This window comes from Homo sapiens, chromosome 9 (assembly GCF_000001405.40).
Source record: "Homo sapiens chromosome 9, GRCh38.p14 Primary Assembly".
Lineage (NCBI taxonomy): Eukaryota > Metazoa > Chordata > Mammalia > Primates > Hominidae > Homo > Homo sapiens.
In genome coordinates this window covers 98,368,041-98,390,931 of record NC_000009.12, presented here as the reverse complement: position 1 = coordinate 98,390,931, position 22,891 = coordinate 98,368,041, and the positions used below count along the sequence as shown (strand labels likewise).

Below are 22,891 nucleotides of genomic sequence, written 5' to 3'. Positions count from 1 at the left end.
GAGCCATCATTTTGCAGGAACAGAAGAAGGAGTAAGAAGGAGACAACTTTCTCTTGTCTATTGTCAATTTTCTGGAGTTGTTTCTATACAATAGGCCCCAAACCCAGTAGTGATCATATCACCTGTGAACCAAACCTCAGTCTTCTTTCTCAGTGTCCATAGAAGGGCTTGTTTCCAGCCAGGATCTCACAGATGCCCCAGCACTGTTCTTGCATTTGGTAGCCAGAAGGCACCTGAGCCAGGTGTTTGGGGAAGGATGATGGACAGAGGTGGAAGAAGCTTCCAGATGGTGAGCTTTCACCATCTGGAAGCAAGAAATGATGTTACCTCCATCTCCTTGTGTCTGCTTTAGCCCAGACTTTTGGCCCTTGATGCCACTTTTCTTATAAATGTTAGTTTACATGGAATTGCTTAAGGCTTCACATTAACCACATCAGCAGGTTCCTTGATGTTTTCAAACCTGGAAACTTTCCTAAATTTCTTACATGGTTCAAACTCTTTTAATCCACTGAATGTTTCTCGCTCTCTATTTTTTTTTTTTTTTTTTTTTTTTTTTGTGAGATGGAGTCTTGCTCTGTCACCCAGGCTGGAGTGCAGTGGCATAATCTTGGCTCACTGCAGCCTCCATCTCCTGGGTTCAAGCGATTTTCCTGCCTCAGTCTCCCGAGTATCTGGGACTACAGGTGTGCACCAGCACACCCAGCTATTTTCGTATTTTCGGTAGAGACGGGGTTTCCCCATGTTGGCCAGGCTGGTCTCGAGCTCCTGACCTCAAGTGATCCACCCGCCTTGGCCTCCCAAAGTGCTGGGATTACAGGCATGAGCCACCACGCTCAGCCAAAGCCACTGAATATTTCTAAACACATTTGAACTTGCTAGCAGTGTTTTAAACCCAGATGTTCAGGGGAGTTCTCACTCCCTGCTACCACATCTGCCCCTTTCCTGCTTGTCTCCTGGGAAGAGAGGCATAACTGGGACCCTGGTGGGGCTCCCAGATTCCCAGGCTTGGCTACTTTGTAACATCCGGCTGATTCCACATACCCCTACTGGAGAGAAAAGCCCTGAAGTTTCACAATTCCACAGCAGAAACCTGACCTAAAATAGCAGCTAAGAAAGAGGGATTCGCAGGAAGCTGGGGGAGTCCCTGAATCCCTCATCCCAAACCAGTCTATGTCTGCTAAAACTAAAACAGGACTGAAAGATGGATTTGCTCTGAAACCCTCAGGGTTCCCCCGAGTTCCTTGTGCTCTTGAAGAATGAGCAGCGCACCTCTGCAGTCACATAGAGAAATGGAATCCCACAGTTCCAGGCCAGTTCTGGCACAGCAGGGAGAGGAAGGTAGCTTCTGCCTCCCACAGTTACTCAGAGTCTTGTGGAAACAGAAAGCCAGATAGAGCTTTTAAAACACAATGACATTGAAGCAGAAATTCTGCAGCCAAAACACCTATGTGTCACCATGGAACCAACAGGCAAGGTGTCCATCCTGTTGAGGAGGGATCATTTATTGTGTATGTTTAGGAGCAGAGATCTTGAGGCCAAAGCCAAGTTCTTCATCCCCGAAGGCACCCACGGGTACCCACTCACATCACCCAGCCCTGTGCTTCCAGGCCGTTGTTGCCTTGGGGGATAAATGGTGATGGTTTTTCAATAGTGTAATTAGACCAAATCAAATTCTAGTCTTCTAATGGCTATTAAATGCATCACAAATCCTTTATTGATTCTATTTAGAGAAAGAAATACAGTCCTAGCTCAGGCTCCCTGTTGAGCAGACTGGCCAACCACCGGATCTGGCTCACCCGGTAGATAGATGTGCCTTGTGTAGAGTTTGTGCGCAGGGCCTGGCTGGATGTCAGGGACACTAAGGCAAAGGTGTTCTCGGGGAATGACTTGCATTGGGTCCCACTGATGTCTTCTCTTGATCCTCTAGGATCCGAACCACCAAAAGACAAGACCATCATCCTGGAGCAGCTGCGGAAGATCTCCCTACCTCTCTACAGCATCCTCTCTGCCCTCACCATCCTCGGGATGATCATGGCCAGTGCTTTTCTCTTCTTCAACATCAAGAACCGGAATCAGAAGTAAGCCACCCTGGTCCTCCTCTGTGATATCACTTTCTAAATTGACAAGCCTATGGACACAGTATAGGAGTGCCACATGACAGATTCCCCAGGGACACAGAAGTCTGCAGGGCAGAGTTTCCCAAAGTGTTCCTCCGTTGCTAGGATGTTGTAGGTGTTACATGCATGTGAGTACGTGTGTGTGCGTGCACGCACACACACACACACACACACACACACACACACACACACACAGAGGCCAGGCTGCTGGTTGCACAGGAGTTTAGTCAAATAAGTTTGAGGAAGTTAAATAAAATCGAAGAGTCCAAGTCCACGGGCCTTCTCAGAGCTTTGGATATACTCCTGTACTTTGTGGAGGTCCAGGAGGAGAGATATAGAAGACAGAATACCCCAAACTTCTTTGCCCCTATCCCCTAGCATCGCTGGGAATCACCACTGAAGGGGGTCACAAAGTCCAGTGAAATGGACTCCCATTGGTACAGTTCATTACGGCCAGGAAGCCCTCCCTTCCATCATCCCGTATGACCCTCCGGATAACTCCTCATTTCACAGAGAAAAGCCCTGAAGTTCAGCGACAGAGTGCTGCTGTCCACTCGTGGCAGACTGTCTTCTTGGTTTCTTGTCTTAATTTCTTTTCCCCACCACGTGCCCTTAATTCTCCAGAGGAGAGAGGCTGACTGAGTTATTCTGGTCAGTCATGGGTAGAACAGGCCGCCACTCCAGGCGGTGGTTTTTACCAAGTGCATTTTGCTTCTTTGGTGTCCATAGCAAATCCCTGAACCCAGCCCCAAGCCTTTTTGTGGAATAAGCAGGGGTGCAGAGCATGGGCCGTCATGGGGACAGCCACAGTGACCACCTACATGGTGCCATGGCTCTGCCATGGTGCCCAGAAGCCACATTGCATGAACTCGTGGGCTGTCGGGAACAAGTCTGATTCTGAAGAAAACAGTTTTTTTGGTTTTTGAGATTTTTAAATTTCTCCCTGCTTGCAAAGAAGGAATTTGGAGGCTCTAGACTTTTGTGTGTGTGCTTGGTTTTTTAATTAATTAATTAATTATTTTAATTAATTTATTTTATTTTATTTTACTTTTTTAAGAGACAGTCTCACTATGCTGCCTAGGCTTTTCTCAAACTCCTGGACTCAAGCGATCCTCCTGCCTCAGCCTCCCAAGTTGCTGGAATTAGAGGCATGAGCCACTGTGTCCGGGGTTATTTTGTTGTTTGTTTGGCTTTTTTTGATAGCAGTTGCTTAGGTCAAACCTATTTCCTGAAAAACAGAAAAGAGTTTTCTTCTCCTGTTATTTTATTTTACTTACAACAAATAGCACATATACTGCCACAAAAAAAAGTGAGGCAACTTTTGTCCACTCCATACAAACCTTAAATGCTCAACATACCTCTTAGCACTTGGCACAGGCCTGGGCACATAATCAGCTCTCAAAGTTAGATTGACAGCCCAGATGCCTCGAGAAGTCCCATCAGGACAGCAAGTTGCCCCATCATAAGACTAAACTCATTGAATTCCTTAACTACCCCCTCTTGGCCTCCTGGGGGAAAGTTACCATTACTCTTTTCAAGAGGCTGGCATCCAGGTGAAGTTTTTTGTTTTGTTTTGTCTTGTTTTTTAACTGGCTTGGCTATTTAAAAATCTGCAGAAAGATAGAAAAAAAATATTGCTATGGTTCCCAATCCCTCCCCCTACTTCTGTCTTCCTAAATCCATCCTATAAGGCCCACCTCCTCTGGGAAGCCTGCCCCAACCCCCAGGCTCTCCCCTCCCCTGACTGCTGTAGTAATAAGAATTGAGGCACCTAAGTAGTTCACGGTTTACAAAAGGACCTCCAAGGACCCAGCGTCATCTCAGCTTCATGTGTGTCCAAGGCAACAGGATCAGTTATACAGGTGAGGAAATTCAGCCAGGCTAAGTGATTTGTCAAGGTGTCACTTTTATGGAGTGGCCGAGTCTAAGCCCTGGACCCCCTGCTCCCAACTTGAAAGCCGGGGTGCAGTTCACAGAGGAAGAGCAGCAGGCTTCTTATTTCCCTCTCCCTTTGACGTATTGCATGTTTAAAATGTGAAGGGTTAACAGAACTGGAGAATGCAAAGGAAAATGTTGGGGAACAATTGGCTGTAATTACAGTCTGCAAAAGAGCCCCTCAACCACAGGGCGCCTAAAACCTGAAGCCCTTCTGAGCTGATTGTGCTGGGGGGGCCAGGCACCTACAAGCCCACTGATGACCCTGGCTTGCTGGGCAGCTGGAGGCCACCACAGGGTTCCGGGAGGAAATGACAGAGAAGGATGCAGCGTCTGGAAGTATAAAGAATGCTCCCTGCTCCCCACTGCAGCCTAGTGAAGACAGGGGTAGTGGGTGGGTTGCGGACTCTGGTGTCTCCCTCTGTCACCCGGTGACTGGGAGAGGTATTCCTGCCCACATGTGTGGCTGTCTTTGTGCACGGAACAGTGTGAGCTTTCCTAAGCAACCCTGAGACTCACAGTTAGGCCTCCTTGACATGGTCTACTCAAGGCTGGGGAGTGTGGTATGGGACTTTCTCCTCACTGTGGGGAACGTGGCTGAAGTTACATGTCACATTCTCTAGATTTGACATGAGTTCTTAGTTCCAGCCAAAAAAAAAAAAAAAAACCTGTTGACTTAATGCTTTTGTTTAAACTGAAAATTAATGGATGAAGAAGCTGATGTGACAAGCTGTCCCTTGGGAAGTAATAGGTGAACTTGACAAAGGAGGCAGGGAAATCAACAATTAGAAATATATAGTTGTCTGAGGTCTTTTAGTGAAGGACAAACAGTAGGTGGGGAGGAGGGTAGAGGAAACCAGAGCTTTTCATTATTTCTCTGTAAGGGGAAGGTTCCAGAGTGAGCACCTGGGTGTTGGGGAAAATCTGACTAGAAATGTGGGACTTCCTGCTGATGTGTCCCCTGAGGCCCCATGGCGTATTTCTGTTTCTCTCTCTCCCCTCTAGCCTGAGCAACAATATATATCTAGCAGGCGTTTAGAAAATACCTGTTGAAGGAATAACTAAATTAACCATTCTGTTAAATCTATTGTCTCTTTCTCTTGTCAGGCTCATAAAGATGTCGAGTCCATACATGAACAACCTTATCATCCTTGGAGGGATGCTCTCCTATGCTTCCATATTTCTCTTTGGCCTTGATGGATCCTTTGTCTCTGAAAAGACCTTTGAAACACTTTGCACCGTAAGTCATTCTGCATAAGCCAGTGGTATATGATAGAAAGTTTCCTTGGTGACCTCAGTCATCGAAAACACAGATGCAAACCCAGAAATACATGAAAATACATGAACAGGCAGGGAACAACCCATTTAGTAGTTTTCAACTCAACAGGGAAGAACGGTGTTACTGTCAGGCCATCACTGGGTATAAATACCACCTACAAAGTTAAGATAATGGACTTCCAGCCCGGGCAACATGGTGAAACCCTGTCTCTACAAAAAATACAAAAAAAAATTAGCCAGGCATGCTGGTGTACACCTGTAGTCCCATCTTCTCAGGAGGCTGAGGAGGGAGGATTGCTTGAGCCCAAAGATCAAGGTTGCAGTGAGTTGTGATCGCGTCACTGTGCCCCAGCCTGGGAAACAGAGAAAGACCCTGTCTCGGAAATAAAGATACTGGACTTACCAGGCCACTGTTAGAAGAGAGCCCACTGAGAATTGACAGAGTAACATAGAAAAGGAGGGGAAAAATATTATCTTCCAGAAAAGCATCAGCGCCAAGGGTCAGAGTCAGGGTCAGGATCGTTTAAGAAGGAACAGATCCTCCCATCTACCTCAAAAACCATCAAAGAATATGACGATAGATCTTTGTATGTCTGACTGAGTTATATGGTAAAAGCTATAATTGTTATTTTCTATTTAAGTGGTGTTTTCTTCAACGGTTTTTTCCTTATTGTTCCCCTAAGGAGCATTTTTAGACATTTTTTCCTAATGATTCCTCTTATGAAAGTTTAATACCAGAAATGTAATGTATATCTGTTTGTGTACTTTATATATATATCTATGGTTTATACGTAAAAAAGAGTAATGTTTCTTCACATTCAAGAACCAACAGTTGCCCCCAAGGGGGCTGTATCATCCCTATTGAGATATATATATATTTAATGAAGTCCAAAGCAGTGTAACTAATTTACTATACATTAGAAAGATTATTTTTAAAGTTAATTAACATGTTAAAAAGTTTAATGCCTAAAGAAATGCCTTTTATTTTTTTTTGTTTTTTGGGTTTTTTTGGAGACAGAGTTTCACTCTTGTTGCCCAGGCTGGAGTGCAATGGTATGATCTCAGCTCACTGCAACCTCCGCCTCCTGGGTTCAAGTGATTCTCCTGCCTCAGCCTCCTGAGTAGCTGGGACTACAGGCATGCACCACCATGCCCAGCTAATTTTATATTTTTAGTAGAGACGGGGTTTCTCCATGTTGGTCAGGATGGTCTCGAACTCCCGACCTCAGGTGATCTGCCTGCCTCGGCCTCCCTAGTTATTTTTTTAAAGGGGGTTATGTATTAGCAATCACTTAATAGTTTTATGGAACTAACTCTCAGTTGAAAATATCATGAACTTACTTTTTAAGAATAAAGTAATCAGTTGGGATGTATTTCTGGACATTGACTATGATCTGTCCAAATGGGGTTAGCCAGCTGGGTCTCTTTAGAGTCCCACATGCAGTAATTCATCCAGTCCCCTGCCTGGAAGACCAGAGCTAGAGGGGATGGTCAAAAGATCGGTGCTGAGTGGATTCATCCAAAAGCCACTCCTTTGTTGGTGCTGTTTTCTTTCAAGACGTTGAGAGCACTGTGGGCCCTTTTTTGCAAAGCAGCCTTTTTTAGACTGCATTTGTTGCTCACAAGCCTCAGTGTTGCCCACTGCTGGATGATGAGGGCTGAAGGCTAGCAGTGAGGGATGCTTAAACGAAGCACCCTTTAAATGTGCTGCAAGTCCCCACTCACACCCCAGATTTTGAGGACTGAGTCCAGGCCAGTCCCTCTGCTCTGGGACAGCACATGGAAAGAAGGGAAGCCCCCCAAGATCTTACAGTCTAGGGGATTTTGCTCCCAGGATTTCTGCGAATGATTAAACTGGACTGACTGTTACACATCATCGAGAAATTGTTCCTGTTACCAGTAACTTCACTGTGAGCTGTCTAGCCAGAGAGAGGTCTACAGATACATTTACTTTATCCTCAATTGGGCAGTGCCTTGAGAAGTGTGTGGTCGAGTCCCCAGTAACTGAGGGGGTAGTGAGGTCACTGGTGTGTTCAGGCCCCTCTCCTCTCCTGGAGGGACCTGCATGACTGTCAAACCCCAGTGCTCCAGGGTCACTTGGTTCACTCTTCCCACTCAAGAGTTTTTCACTCCAAGCCTGGCACTGGCTCATTCCCACCAAAAGATCAAAAGAGTATGGCCTTCTGGCATGAGACTAATTCCCATTATTCTGCCCGTCTGGGAGTGAAGAAGGTGAATACAAAAGATGCAAGTCCCTGGCTTCACTGTGCCTGCAGTCAGCTTCCAAAGAAGCTGAGCTTCTCAAAAGTCCTTGTGGGTGTGGTTCAGTGGGGTTGTTCTCTAAAGAGTATGGCCTCCTGGGGCAAGGTGCAGTGGCTCACACCTATAATCCCAGCACTTTGAGAGGCTGAGGCAGGCAGATCACCCGAGGTCAGGAGTTCAAGACCAGCCTGACCAACATGGAGAAACCCCATCTCTACTAAAAATACAAAATTAGCCGGGCATGGAGGCGCATGCCTGTAATCCCAGCTACTCAGGAGGCTGAGGGCAGGAGAATCGCTTGAACCTGGGAGGCAGGGGTTACAGTGAGCCGAGATCACGCCATGGCACCCCAGCCTGGGCCACAGGAGTGAAACTCCATCTCAAAAAAAAGAAAAAAACAAGGGTGGCCTTCTGGCATGAGAATGATAACCAAAGCGCATGGAAGTCTCGCTAGTTTTAGTGGAAGTGTGAAGGCCACTGAGTCTCTGATATTCCTACATCAGCATGACTTTTGTGCCCTGAGATGCCTAACAATTTCATGGGCATACAATTTATTTATGGTCAGCTTTCCTGGGCAGTGGTGAGGCCTGAATAAAAGGTTGCTCCTGAGGGACCCTGATGAAGTTAAACGAGGAAAGTGAGGATTTCTCTCTTCCATCTGTGCTTAGGCTTCCTCCCCAAGTTTTAGGACACAGTGATGATTACAGTAATGGAAATGGTACTGGGGCCGGGTGCAGTGGCTCATGCTTATAATCCCAGCACTTTGGGAGGCCGAGGCGGGTAGATCACCTGGAGCCAGGAGTTCAAGACCAACCTGGCCAACATGGCAAACCCCATCTCTACTTAAAAATACAAAAAATTAGCTGGGCGAGGTGGCGGGCGCCTGTAGTCCCAGCTACTCAGGAGGCTGAGGCAGGAGAATGGCGTGAACCTGGGAGGCGGAGCTTGCAGTGAGCCGAGATCGTGCCACTGCACTCCTGCCTGGGCGACAGAGCGAGACTCGGTCTCAAAAAAAAAGATACTGGGGGCAAGTTTGGCAACTCCAGTTTCTCAGTGGCATCCCTGAGAGGCAAGGGGCTTGCCTTGTTCCCCAGGTTGAGAACCGGTGGAGCAAAACCCTACCCTCATTCTGCCATGGCCCCAGTCCTTCCCGGGGGCCACTCTGCCCATCTCCTCATCACTTGCTGTTGGACACCTGGGAATGCCTCAGGTGTCCTGAGGCATTCAATCTTCACTGCAGAGATTCCTGCAGCAGACATGAAGGGCTGCCCAGCCTTTAGAAACTCTCTCCTTCCCAGAAAGAAGTTCCTGACATCTCGCCTTGTTCACAAGCCAAAGGCTATGAAAGCACAGGTGCTTTCTCAAGTTTGACCTGAATTCAACAACCACAGGGTGACGCAGGCTAGGGAGCAAAAACAGGGACATCCCCCACACCCAGGGCTTTTCTTTTTAATGAAGCCTGATGTTCTATTCTGGGAGTCACGCTCATTTGTGTGAGGGGAAGGTTGTCCTGGGAAGCCGGGGAAGGCTGATATGAATAAATCATAAAGCGCTTTACAAATCAGCATCGGCTCTGAAAATGAGGGCCCGAAAAGATATTAGGGCCCAGTTCTTGCTGCCCCTGAGAATTAATTTATTTGCAGTCAAGGCTGTTTTAGAAGCTCTACAAAGGGGAGTCCACATGCATGACTGTGGGGAAAAGGCATAGATTATCTACCCCGGACTGAATCGGGTCAGCACAGAGGTGTACATGGGTTAGGGCTGGGGCCATTTATTTACTAATTCTCAATATTGCCCAGGAAGAGGAAGTGAAAGCTCTTGAATTTAGGGCCTAAGTACCAGTGCCTGATGGGTACAATTTGGGTTGTATTCCACCTGCTATTCCAGGGTGGGCAGCTCCTTAATTTCACTTGGTGCCATGGATTCTGTCCTTCGGACCTAGAAGGCTGCTCCCAGCAAACTCCCACCGAGTGGGGAGCTGCAAGGAGAAGCAGGCCCCTATGGTGTAGTGATCACGGATCTTCCAACAACAGCCTGCATTCGACTGCCACCTCCTCCACTTACTAGCTCCTGACTGCAGCAAGTGACTTAACCTCAGTTTTCTCATCTGTAAAATGAGCATAACAGTTTTCCCTCTGCAGGATTGCAGTGTGGGTTAAACAAGACGATTCAGACAAGCCGCCTGGAACTCAGGGAGAGTGCTGCATGGAGGGATGTAGGAGGAGGGATAGGCATCACAGCTTGTCACCTTGCATCCTCGTCACAGTGTAATTTCCTGGTGTCCCACACTGGGTTCTGTAAATCTTAAAGGACAGGGGACAAGGTAGACCATGAGACCAGGTTCAGACATGGCGCAGCCGAAGTCACAGTTCTGTCTGCTCTGCTGCCATATACATGCCGCTTTTTTCTCCCTTTTAGTTTTCAAAATAGCAGCTTAACACAGTGAGAAACCATGAATACCCCCTCAGGCAGAAACCTATGACAGTCACAAGATTAGGCCTCTCTAGGGGCTACACCTCTGCTCGGACGAGGGTGGGTGCGTGTGTGAGTGCGTGCACACAGATTCACCCACACACAGTGCTACTCCTAGGGATGCAGTTTCTCTTAGTTCCCATCCCCCACTCCCTCTGACCCTTTCCAGAATCTTCCCAGACTGTCAGTGCCGGTTTCTCCAAGTCTTGAGAACAGCTCCAGCTATACCCCGTGCTGTCTCCCTGGACACTGTGCGGGTAGTGGAGTCACCATAGCAACGTGGCCCCTGTGGACGTGGAGCTGTCTGCAAGGACAGTGCTGGGCGTGGCCAGGGCCCCAGTGCCAGGGGGAAGGGATGGACCCCGGCAGCTGAGCTGACCCGGCTCTGGGATCCCAGCCCCTGTCTGCCCAGACAAGGAGTCCAGCAGGTGGGGATGAGAAAAAGCACTTGCCTTCCTTGTGGATCTGAGGCAGAAACCCCAGCTCGAGCGGGGGAGGAGTAAGAAGGGGCTTTGCAGACAGGATGAGGAGGCTCCAGGCGGACCTTAGATCCCAGCGTGGGCCTCACGCAGCTTCCTGGGCTCTCAGAAGCATTCCTGGGCGTGGGGTAGTAACAGCTTCCTGTTAACTCCCGAGCCTGTGCCCTCAGCCTCTGCGAGTCACCAAGGCCAGCTTTCAGCCAGGGGCAGCCTTTCGTTCACAACCACCTGACAAGGCCAAGTTCACTGTCCCCACCTGACGGAGCAGAAAACGGAAGCCCTGTCACACACTGCTAGGCAGCAGGGAAGAAGTTTAAAACTAGCTCTGTTGGACCACAAAGATGATTGAGATGTTTCATTAGAAAGCAAGACTATTCTGATTTTTTATTAGCTGGCTTATACCAGAAAAAAAAAAAAAGTCAACTAAGTTCTTAGGGATCTGGTAACCACCTATCCCAGCCAATATTACCAAAATTTTTGTCTCAGATTTTTTTAAATTAAGATATAATCCACATACCATAAATTTTGCCCTTTTAATGTGTACAATTCAGTGGCTTTTGTTTACCCTATTTAACATCTCTGAACCTTAGTTTCCTCTTCTGTAAAATGGGGATGATAATAATAGGGTTGTGAGGATTAAATGAGATCATGTATGTAAAGCATCTAGTGCCTGTCACACAGTAAGGCTTCATACATCTTAGCTGTTATCATTATGTATGAACGAATGATGGGACTATGTCTGGATAATTGTGTTCACCTCTGGATACCATTAAGAGAGACACTGATAAAGCAGAGTAAACTTGGGATAAAGAGGCTGGGAGGCCAGGTGCGGTGGCTCATGCCTGTAATCCCAGCACTTTGGGAAGCTGAGGCGGGTGGATCACCTAAGGTCAGGAGTTCGAGGCCAACCTGGCCAACATAGTAAAATCCCATCTCTACTAAAAATACAAAGATTAGCCAGGCATGGTGGCAGACGCCTATAGTCCCAGCTACTCAGGAGGCTGAGGCAGGAGAATCACTTGAACCTGGGAAGCAGAGGTTGCAGTGAGCCAAGATCGTGCCACTGTACTCTAGCCTGGGTGACAGAGGGAGACCCTGTCTCAAAAAAAGATAAAAAAGAAGAGGCTGGGAAAACCGGTTGATGCTGGCCAGCTTGGTGTAGGTACCCATGGCAACTTCTGGCCTTCTGTGGCCTTGCTCTACCAAAACTGGGGCGGGAACAGACTTGGGTCCTGCCTAAGTCAAAGCCAAGCTGGTGGTTGCCTCTGCCACCTTGAGTGCTGAAAGGGGCTTTGGGGCAGGCAGCAAGGGAGGTAAGAATGACACAGACGGGACCTCTGAGGATGCTGCGGCCATGTAGTGGTTGGAATCTGGCCTAAGAAGCCAGTTTGGCCCAGGGCTGCCCTGAGGGACGCTCAGAAGAGCGTGACTCAGCTTTAGCTCCCAGCTGCCTCTACTTGCTGACCACCCCAACTCTTTTATCTACTTTTCTACTTAAAAAAAGTATGTATATTATAAGTGTGGCACTCAGTGAATTTTCACAAACTGAACTCAACTGTGAATCCAGGATCCATATCAAGAAGCAGGACCTTATCAGCATCCCAGAGGCCCTCCCTGTCTCCTTCTGGTTCCTATCTGCCCCAACCCTCCTCCCCTTGCCAAAGGGTGGCCCCCATCCCAGCTCCTGCATGCACAGACAGTGCTACTCAGTGTGCACTGAGCCACCTGGGGGTCTGGATGGAATGCAGCGGGTCTAGAAGGGGGCCTCTGCATTCCTGACACACTCTCAGGGGATGCTGATGCCACATCCCCAGACCGCACTTGGAAGAGCAGGGATAAGATTAGTACCTGATGCTTTATTTTTGTGTTTGTCTCTTGGAGACTGATTGTGTAAGATAAATGGGAGCACCAGAAGCCTGGTCTCCTGGGGCCCAGCTGTGGGAGGGAAGGAGCTCCTGGGCTGGAAGACACTGGATTGTGGCCCCCACCCTCGAACCTCGGGAAGCAGGGCGGTTCCATCACAGCTGGCAGGGTGGGGTTCGAGTCCCGAAGCACCCCTTCGGCCTCTTCACTCTGCTCAGATGGATGGCAGCTAGGCAGGGGTGGGGCAGGGGAGGCCCAGACACTGGACTGGGGAGTGTGATGCCCTCTTCCTGCCCTCCTAGAGGTACTGGGATTTTCTAACTCTAACTAGAAAGGTAAAGGCTGCCTAGGAACACCCACTTGGCCTCCCAGTAAATTCAAGTCTGGTAGGAATTAATGAAACATTTTTAGTTAAAAGGCCATAAATCTGTGGTTTTGTTGTTGTTGTTGCATGGGGTTTTCTTTTTGAGGCAGTTGAGAAGTAAAACAATGTAATAATGTGGGTTTGGGGCTGTTTCTGCAGGTGGCTGTCATGGCTGGCCATGGTAACATGCTTTGTGATTTCAGAAGGCAGCAGGAAGGCTGGGCTAGGAGATACCCACAGGGTTTGGTGGTGGCCTTGCCTGGCAGGTCCAGACCAGCTCAAGGAGAGGGTCACAGGGACTGGCTGTCACAGGGCCTGATTGGGCCAACTGGAGTCCTGGATGGGGTACAGATGCCCGCTTGATGACAGTGGCCTCCCCACCCCCAACTCCCTTCCAGAGGAGGGGGCTGAGTGGGGAACCAGGGACTCCCCAGACTCCTGAGCCAATAAGCAGATGATGGCCTCCCTTCCAGACACCCCACATGTGGGCCACTCCAACCCCTGGCTCTGCTCAGCACTCTTGTTCCCACAATTCATTCATTCATATGATAACATTCCCAGGCACCTGCTAGGCACAGAGCATGGTCCTCGAGGAGCTGGCAGTGTAGATTGAAAACCTAAGTAAACAAACAGTTCCCATTTACTATGTTGTGTACACTGGCAGAGACAGGCCTAGGGGAGTGGGTAAGGCCCAGAAGCAAGGGACAAATCAGGGAAGACTTAAAATAAGGGACCCCTCTGAGTGAGCTCCAGTTATTTCTGGAAGTCCTAAATGATACACCATACTTGCCCACAGAATTCTCAACAGCTGCAATCACATGGTGTGGCCACTCAGTCCTTCCTCTCTGGCCCTGACGCCCACTTGTCCACGTCTTCTGTCCACAGAGCTGTATGAAGGCACACAGCAGCCCCCTCCCCACCACACCCCACCCCCTCCTGCCACTACCCATCTGAGAATGCTGCGTTTCCAAAAAGCTCCCCAACCTCCAGTCCTGAGGCACCTTCTGGGGTTGTGGGGGAACAGGAAGAAAGGCCTCTTGCTCATTCTGCATTGTTCTGTGGCCTGAGCCAAGGCTGCCAAGGGCAGTTGTGCACTTTCTGCACTACACAAGGGTGTTGGCTTCAGGGGCAGGAGCTGAATTTCGGCCTGTGATCGGGTCTTTGAGCCAAGTTCTTGGAGTTTGTTGGCTTCAAGGGCCTTGAGGAGTGGAGTCCTTCAGAAAGGGCCCAGACGGGGTGCCTTTCAGAAATTTCTCCTCCCAGAGGAGAAACCTCTCTCTGATTTGCCCCAAGGCTTCTAAGATGGCCCCTAGGCCCTGACTCGGGTTCCAAAGTACTCCTGTGGGTCCTGAGTCACCTTTGCCCCCTGCACCGTTCCCCCAGAAAGGCTCTGCTGTACTCTAAGCTCCAGAGAAGATTTTCTATACAGGTCTTACCCAGAAGACCCTGAGCAAGACGGGGTCTTCTGGGGCTGTTTCTAGAGGCTGCTCTTCAGAGTCTTATAACTTGAGGATTTATCTGTCGCCCTTGCCCTAGAAGACAAGATGGGCCCTGGAGACCTCAGGCCTCTCAGCTTCCCCACCTCATACCTCACAGTGCTCTGGGGCTTGCTTTGGGGCGCTCTGGGAGTTTCTTCCCTCCTTCTCACTATTGAGCACCTAGGATGAGCAGTCAGAATGAAGTAAAAGGCCCTTGAGAGAACCTTTTGGACAGCAGGAAAGTGACTTGCCCCTGTGTCCAGCCAGCCACCAGGGCTTGCTCTTCCATCTGACTTGCTGGCCTGAAGCCCACATGAATCTGTGGCAACAAGGAGACCCGGAGCACAGCAGTCCCATGCGTCATCTGTCAGAACAGGCCTGCCAGCAGAGGTTGTATGTCCATTTTCATGTTGATCCCCAGAAGGGCAGTGAAAGCCCTTCACCCTCCCAGGCATGCTTCATGAAATCAATGGAGCAAGCGGCTGAGCAGAATTGTTCTGGGCATAGATTTTTCCTTCCATTTGGAGACTTGCTCTCATTTCTTTTTCCTTTTTCATAGCTGGGACTGAGATGGGCACTACCTGCCTAAAGTTTGTCTTCCCCCATGGATGGATTATGTTCAAGGCAGTTCGCAGAGGGGGCTGAGTACCTGATGGCTAAGGGGAGAAAAAGAAAGATGTTAAATCAGAAAAATAAACACACGTAAGACTTTAGGAGAAAAAGTGAAGTAGCTATTTGGTGTTGACGAACCAGTAGAGACTTGTATTGGTGGTAACATATTGGAAAACAGAATCATTAGAACCCTTCAGATGAAACCTTCTCGTTTACTTGGCATCATAGAGCCACATAGAAGGGAGGCACCTGGGATGTCATTAAATGAAACCTCCCTCAGTGCAGGAAATGCCCCTGGAGCATTCTGATGGAGGGGGAGAAGGGGGGGAGTCTTCCAAGCTTTGCTTGAATATGTGGAGTGATGGGGAGCTCACTACCTGTCAGACAGCATGTGGAAGGGGCAGCTGAGGCCATGAACTCAGCCTCTTTTGCTATCAAATGCTCCAGTTCTCTCTGTGGTCTTCCTTTAATTTGCTTGCTCAGGCTCAACTTGCACATCTGTGGTGACAAAGAGTTCATGACCTCCTAAACTGGCCCATCCAGTCTGATTGTCTCCTCTTGGCTCCAGAGATTTAAAGGTGGGCAAAGCAGGCCCTGCCTCCCAGTAGCTTCATCTAGTGGGAGAGGCAGACAGGTAATCAGATAGATGTCATCTCTGTGTGACCAGCAGAGCAGAAACATGCTTGAAGGCAGAAGTCATGAGGAGGAAGTAGTCATGACCTCCCTGCAAGGTCTCAGTGGGCTTCTCAGAGGAAGTGGCTCACAAGTTTGGATTTCAGAGGATGCATGAGAAGTTGTGAAGAACAAGGAATGGCATTTTGGGTGGAGGAAACAGCGCGTGTCAGACCCGGCAGCATGAGCCAGTGTGATGTGAGGGGAAAGACTGAGCAGGGCAGGATGGTTTGAGAAATATCAGAAGAGGTAAGGTAGAGGGGGCTGCACCCTGCCTGCTAAGAATTTGGAGTTTAACCTGAGGGCTCTGTGGGGCAGCGATGGGTTTAAATCCCAGAAACTTAAGCTGGAGTAACACTTAATATGGGGACTCACTGTGGAGCCCTGGCAGTAGGTGTCTGGTGATTGTATGCAGGAATGCTCCCAGAGACAAGGTGGTTGGTCAGTTCTCTACACCAGACAGCAATGGGATGCAGCATTGAGAGTCTCCAAGACAACCCCCAAGTTCAATGATTCACTAGGACTCTCAGGGCTCAGCACACAGTCATACTCGCAGCTATGACTTATTACACTGAAAGAATACACAGCAATATCAGCAAAGGAAAAGGCACGTGGGGAGGCAAAGTCCAGGGGAAACCAGGTGGCAGCTTCTGATAGCCCTATCACAGCGGAGGAGCACAGGACACGCTTAAGTCCCCCAGCAATGAGTAGCGACCACATGTGTGAAATGCTGCCTAGGGAAGCACATTAGAGATGACACGCCCAGGGTTTTTAGTCGGAGGATGGATATGTCGACACCGTCTGCCTACTATGTAACAAAATTCCAGACTCCCAGAAGGAAGGCAGTGTTCAGCATAAACCACGTTGTTTGCACAACCAGTTCAGGCACAGTGAGCTGCTCTTATCATTGAGGGGATGGTGGGAACTGTCCAGAATCCAAGCTCTCAGATACCAGCCAAGGACCAACCTTCAAATCAGACCTTTCTAAAGATAACAGTCTCAGGCCTGCTATGTTAACTCTTTTCTGCCCAGGCATCCTCAGCTATTCTTCGCTTTTAGTTTATGGCAACATATTGCAGTTTCCAGATGCCAGATTAAATTTATATTATTGAATTTTAACTAACTTGACTAATTATATGATTGAGTGAATTTAGCCCTCACAAAATAGACAAGTGGCCTGGAAATGATTGTTTCAAAGAAAACCTAAGTCAAAGCAAATATTAAGAATGCTTGCACACCAAGGCCAGGTGCAGTGGCTCTTGCCTGTACTCCCAACATTTTGAGAGGCCGAGGCAGGAGGATCACTTGAGTTCAGGGGTTCAAGACCAGCCTGGGCAATATAGCAAGATTTCGTCTCTACTAAAAATCAAAAAAATTAGCTGGGCATGGTGGTGCATGCCTGCAGTCCCAGATACTCAGGAGACTGAGGTGGGAGGATTGTTTGAGCTCTGGAGATGGAGGCTGAAATGAGCTGTGATTGTACCACTGTACTCCAGCCTGAGGGACAGAGCAAGATCTCATCTCAAAAAAAAAAAAAAAAAAAAAAAAGGAATGCTTTGCACACTGGAGTGACACATCTCCTCAAAATAGATCTTTGTCAGCCACAGGATGAGGTAAAAATGATGATATTACTTCATCTTTGTCCTTTTTAAAATGCCCATGGTCTGTATATGGTCATTTGTAAAATTAAACATGTTCAAGAGAATGTTATCAAAAATGCTGTAGACCATTGGTCTTAACAGTCATGTCACTAAATTAGCTTTACAAGTGTGCTGAGGTCCCTGGAGGGTGTTACAGGTTGGTCAGCTACCCCCTCTGGGTGTGTCCTGGTCCTTTGACATCCGGCTCCTAGGTGTAGATGAACCTGATTTGAGTTGAGGAGACTCCATCTGAGGAGGAGGCAGCAGCAGGATGTCGGGGAGAGAGGCCTGGACCGGGTCAAAGCATCGAGTTCCAGGCTTAGCTCTGGAGCTGTGTGGCATGGTTAAGGGAACTATCTTGAATGCGCTGGGCCTCAGTTTCTTCACCTGTTAAGGGAGTTCCTCACTTAACTGATACCTCCAAAAAATCACCCTGGTGTCTGTTATTGTTGTTGTTATTTCTTTTTATTGTTGTATACTTTGCCTCTGTCCTAATAATACTTGTTGAAGATGAACAAATGAACAAACAAACGAATGAGTGAATGAATGAGATGAACTGTCAAGTCCCATGCATCTCTGACAGATGACAAATGTATTATCTGTTCATTGAATATGCTCAGGTCTAAATTCTCTATCATTGGCTCTTTCCCCCTCCCTGTTTTGTATATTTTTCTCACATCCTTTTATGATCATCTGGGTAATAATGTGGCCATTCTACATTCTTTCTAAAGCACTGTGGTTCATTTTTACCCATCTGATTTCTCCTTGTTTGTGAAATTAAAAAAAAAGAAAAAGAAAAAGAAAAAGAAAATAGAAGGCTAAGCACCCACCTGTACCCTCACAGCATTCATGGTTCACAGGCCTGTGTTTCTGAACAAGCGCTGTGATACTGTTGTCCTTCCCTTGATTTAGTGGGTCAGCCTTGCAATCTAAAAATAGTTCCTATTTTTACAAATAAAATTGAAACGCAAAATGTTCTGTCTCTGAAAACCTGGAGAGTCAAGTTGCCGGAAAGGCAGGAGCAGAATGAATCTGTAAGGGGAATGGGCTGGGAACATTTCTTGGAAACTTCCTACATGTGTTGGTGGCAGCCAGCCCTGAACTAGAAGGGGCCTGGGGAAGCCAAGCAAAGCTACTGTGCTCAGTTCCTCTGGATGCAGAGGGCCTGAGCTGTCTGCTGCAGCCTGGCTGCCTCTCTTTTTCCCCTACCACATCCAACTTTCTGCCTTGTGTTCAGCCAAGGCAGGTTGGAACCTTTCAAAGGAAACTAAGCTCAACAGAGCTGAGGGAGAGCAAAGACCCAAGCTCAGAGCTGCAACTCATGGGGCACGTGGCTTTTCTGTCCCAGTGAGTGGGAGGCCCCAGAACTCAGTGGTGCACAGCCCAGGGCTGGACCATGATGTGGGGCCCACCTGGAGATGTGCACGTCTCCTGGGTATTAGAGGGTGTCCAGTCTAAATGGTGAGGGTTGGGGGGTCTGGGAGTGATACAGTACAGGTGAAGGTGGGCGTCCTGGAGGCCCCTAAGACCTAACAGGTGGTGGCCAGCCTGTTCCAGCCTTCAGGGATCCAAGTTGTAGGCTCCTGTCAGGGCCGGCTGTTCCCATTAGCCACCAACCCAGGGCTAGGCGTCAGGGCACACCTTGGTCCTGGGGAATAGGTGAGAGCCAGACAGGGCCTCAGTCCTGAGCAGGGACCAAGGTCTAAGTGTGGGCTCAGTGGCCAGTCTGGCCCATGCTGACTAACTGACCTTCTGAGGTGACACTGGACAGTAGTAGCCACATGGCCTGACCATGTGGGGAGAGGGCTGGGCAGCAGGAAGAAGGAAGGGAGGAGGGGAAGTGAAGGCCAGAGGGCTGGACCATCACCTTTTGGTGGTATCTCAGCATCTCAGCAGTCCTGGGGGCCCTCTGTGGCTCTCCCTCTGTCTGGCTCTCTCTAGGCCCATCTAAGGCATGGTTTGAATATTGCACTCCTGTGTGCCTAGTGACCTGGGTCTGGTAAGTGGCTGATAGAACTAAATGCCTATTGAATGGAAATTTGATTGAAAGATGCCAATGAAACTCAACTATATGCAGAGGGGAGTATTTGTCCCCATCATAAAGAGTCCCCTTGCAGGGTGGACTCATACCTGATGAAGTCTGTCTACCTAAGGAAGGTCAATGCCTCTGTTTTCTCATGGCCTCTAGGTCAGGACCTGGATTCTCACCGTGGGCTACACGACCGCTTTTGGGGCCATGTTTGCAAAGACCTGGAGAGTCCACGCCATCTTCAAAAATGTGAAAATGAAGAAGAAGGTAATCACTCTCCTTCTGTTTCAGGGTATTAGTAGTGTTCACCCAGCATTTATCTAGCAAGTATATACTATATTCCAGGCACTGAGCTATTTGCTGGGGATCCAAGCTAAACACAATCCCTACCTCCTGCCACCTTCACCCTACTGGGGAAATCGGACAGTTAACAAAGCATTTGTAATACACAGTTATCAGGGCTGGCTGGGGACATGTGGGGGGTGCTGGGGTACGAAACACTCAAGGGAGGCTTCATGGAGGAAGTGCCACCTATGCTGGGGCCTGGAGGGTGAGTGGGAGTTGGCTGAGCCAAGGGCATAGGGATGCTGGGGACCTTGTCAAAGGAACCATCCGTGGCAGCCTGGGGATGGGAGGAGGGTGGTCAGGGGCCGAGAGAGGCTTGGTGTGGCTGGGGCATAGGGCTTGTGGGGACAGGGTACAGGAAGAGGCTGGAAGGGAAGACAGGAGCCACATTAAGGAATCTGCACTTTAACTTATGGGCAATAGGGAGCCCTTAAAAGAGAGGAGTGAAACAGGGCTGGTACCTGATTTAATGATTCCATTTTCAAAGAGGCCCCTGTAGGACAGGAGCTCAGCCTTCACACCGTGGACCGCATTCGCCACCCGTGCGGTTTGGTATAGATATGATGTTGCCAGACCTTGACTCTTAGTCATAGAGAAACTTTATCCACCACTGTCCTCTTTAACTCTTGCAGTGGTACTGGAGCTCCCCTTTCTTCTGGATAAAATTTGTGAAAGTCTTGTGATCTTGAAGGTCCTCTGGTTAGTAACTATTATAATATGTAGAGTCTATTGTTATATTCAAAACTGCAAACAGCATTGATTGGCACAACTTCTCCCTCTCCCAGCTCAGGCCTGCAGCAGGCCGGCCACCTGCCTTGGGAAAAGGAGTATAGGCTGGCCGCTTCTGTCTTTGGCCAGCCTGCATTCTTTCCCCATCATCCCATCCACCCAGGTGTCCAACCCCTCCAGAGTTGGAATTAGGAGTGGTGGAAGAGGCAGGAAATACCTTACTTGCTCAGAGCTGGCATTGGGCTTACTGGGCCTGGCAAGGATTGCAGTGGCCCCTTTAGACTCCTGGGGCGCTTTTCTGAGTCCCTCATTACTAGGACTTTCTCTCCTGCCGTCCTCTTGATGCAGGTGAAATGCTCCCCCAATTGGCTATTTGTGGCTTCTTCCTCTGCTCCTGAGCACCCTTCAGTTCTCCACCCTGGGGTCACCTCACCCCTCCAGCTAGTCCTGGACAGGGCCACACAAACTCTCCCTCACCCATGGCCCACATCTGGGGCACAGAAAGCATTCCTTCATCCTTTGCACCTACAAACTCAAGGACTGAAGGTTGATGTCACTGTAGTAGCTGCCTCTCTTTTGTTCCATCCTCAGAGCAGCTGGCCAGTCCATCATCCACCTTTAGGTTTCTCAAGCAGGAGTCGGACACCAGTCCACAGGGTCCCCCAGGCTGCAAAGACTCCTATCAAGCCACCCAGTGATCTCCTTTTCACTGGAAACCAAGGCCTCTCCCTTGATTTGAGGTCATGGAGGAAGCGTTCCCTCCCAGTCCACCCATTTCTCTCACCAGGGTACCATGACACCTCTTACCAAAAATCTTCTTCTCAATTCAATTCCCCACCCACCACACCCTAGCCCCCTGCACACACTCTTCAAATCCTGATGTGGGCATCACCTGTTTACCAACACCTCCTCTGCAGATCCTCACTGTGGGCTCATCCCAGTGGAACATGGAGCCTGTTGTTCTGGTTTTTCATCCAAGCCTGCATTTTGCTCCCTGGCTACCTGGCACCAGTGGCAGACAGCAACCCAGCCCGAGCAGTGAGGCCAACAGGCTAAACAGAAGCCTGGAGTTCTAGGCTCTGCTCCACTGCTGATCTGCCGTGTTAGACAAAGCTCTTAGTCTTTCAGGACTTCTGTGTCCTCATCTGTAGAATGTGGACACATTAACATAGTATTGTCCCCTTAGCTGTGATTCTGTGGGCTCCTGCCTGGTGCCCTGGTGATACCTCTCACTCCTCAGGCCCCCCACCCACCTCTTCACTGCCAAGGTTCTTCTTCAGGACTGCAGCCCCCTGTCCTCTCCAGATGAGGTGGAGGTATATTCTGTTCTCTGCCCCCTGCCCCCTGCCCCACACCCGAACCACCTTAGGAAATCCACAGGCTGCATTTAGAGTGGGGAAGGGGCCCTGCTCTGCCACCCTGTCCCTGTGCTCGCATGGAGGGGCCGTCTCTGGGCCCCGGCAGCATTTATGACAACTCTCCGTAAGATGAGAGGCCTGGCCACCCCAGTGTTCCTCAGCTGTGGCTGTGGACTGCAATCCCAGAGGACCTTTTGAAAACTACTGGAAGTCGCCCAGGCCAGTTGAAATGAGGGCTTTGGGGCTGGAGCTGAGCATCAGTAGTTTTTCAGCTTTCCCTGGTGATGTTAATATACTGCCAAAGTTGGGGACCTGTGGTCTAGGTCAGGGCTTCTGAGTGCGGCTGCCCTGCAAGCTGTTAGAAATGCAAGTTCCTGGGCCCCGCCCTGACCCTAATGAACGGGAATCCTTGGGAGGAGCCCAGGAGCCTGTGTTTTCCCCATCCCTGGCCAAAGCAAGCCAAGGCTGGAGAGCCACTGGCCTAGGTGGCTTCTGGGGCCCCTCCTGCTCTGCGGCTCTGGTTTAAGAGCTGTTCTGCTCTTGAACCAGGATGACAACTCCATCCTGGTTTGGAAGAAGCACAGTATTGGTTCCTTTGTGCTAATATGTGATTCATCCCTATGGTCATCTGTGATAAGAAACCTGCCTTTATGCTCTCTAACATGACTGCCAAGCAAGAACACATCAACCGTCTGGCCACAATCGACAAAACATATTGGGAAAACGGCAGGAGTTCAGTTGTCTAGAAGCTCCCTGTGGGGCAGTGATATGGTGTGGTCACCAGAGGCCATGGGCTTTTGCTCACTTCCTCCTGCACTGCCTGAGCTAGGGGAAACTCGGTCCCCGCCAAGGGTCTGGGCCAACTCTGAGAGCTCAGGCTTGCAGTGGGTCCAGGCATCCAGGGAGGAGGCTTATCTGAGAAACAAGCCTCCCACACACACACTTTTTTAACCTTTTTTAACTTTTTAAAGTTTCTTTACTTTTTTTTTTTTTTTTTACTTTTTAAAACTTTTTTTCTACTTTTGTTTTTAAGGGTAATGATGTCAGAGACAGTGGGGATTAAAACAGTCCCTTAACGGGTATGAGGTTAGAGGACTAGAAGGTGACAGAGGTGGACATCAGAGGATGGTAATTGTGTCACCAGGCATCTAGAGGAAGATGATTGTGACGGTGAGGAGGGCCTCAGGACCAGCGGGGGAAATGACATCAAGGATGGTGAGGGTGATGTCAGGGACAGAAAGGGCAATGACGGCGATAA

The 22,891-nt window shown here is 49.1% G+C and overlaps 1 protein-coding gene across 4 annotated transcripts in view, besides 4 other annotated features; it reads left to right on the top strand.

Moving 5' to 3' along the window:
* GABBR2 (gamma-aminobutyric acid type B receptor subunit 2) overlaps positions 1 to 22,891 on the top strand; it is a 420,827-nt gene that overhangs the window by 318,004 nt on the left and 79,932 nt on the right. For all 4 annotated transcript variants that reach the window (NM_005458.8, XM_017015331.3, XM_005252316.6 and 1 more), the window contains 3 exons: positions 1,928 to 2,078; positions 5,160 to 5,292; positions 19,361 to 19,468. In NM_005458.8, the coding sequence (NP_005449.5) occupies positions 1,928 to 2,078; positions 5,160 to 5,292; positions 19,361 to 19,468 (392 nt within the window). The remainder of the gene's footprint in view (positions 1 to 1,927; positions 2,079 to 5,159; positions 5,293 to 19,360; positions 19,469 to 22,891) is intronic.
* Positions 1,946 to 2,124: a silencer, noted in NCBI's record as "fragment chr9:101151090-101151268 (GRCh37/hg19 assembly coordinates)". NCBI's record gives its function as "represses an EF-1alpha promoter that drives an FKBP-Casp9 reporter gene in an ReSE screen in HepG2 liver carcinoma cells {active_cell/tissue: HepG2}" and the evidence as "EXISTENCE:reporter gene assay evidence [ECO:0000049][PMID:32094911]".
* Positions 15,465 to 15,524: an enhancer, noted in NCBI's record as "active region_28697". NCBI's record gives its function as "activates an Ori minimal core promoter by ATAC-STARR-seq in GM12878 lymphoblastoid cells {active_cell/tissue: GM12878}" and the evidence as "EXISTENCE:reporter gene assay evidence [ECO:0000049][PMID:35858748]".
* Positions 15,531 to 15,825: a silencer, noted in NCBI's record as "tiled region #1904; HepG2 Repressive non-DNase unmatched - State 23:Low". NCBI's record gives its function as "represses a minimal TATA promoter and a strong SV40 promoter by Sharpr-MPRA in HepG2 cells {active_cell/tissue: HepG2}" and the evidence as "EXISTENCE:reporter gene assay evidence [ECO:0000049][PMID:27701403]".
* Positions 18,025 to 18,713: an enhancer, noted in NCBI's record as "H3K27ac hESC enhancer chr9:101134501-101135189 (GRCh37/hg19 assembly coordinates)". NCBI's record gives its function as "activates a minimal SCP1, AML or CMV promoter by ChIP-STARR-seq in primed H9 embryonic stem cells {active_cell/tissue: H9 hESC(primed)}" and the evidence as "EXISTENCE:reporter gene assay evidence [ECO:0000049][PMID:30033119]".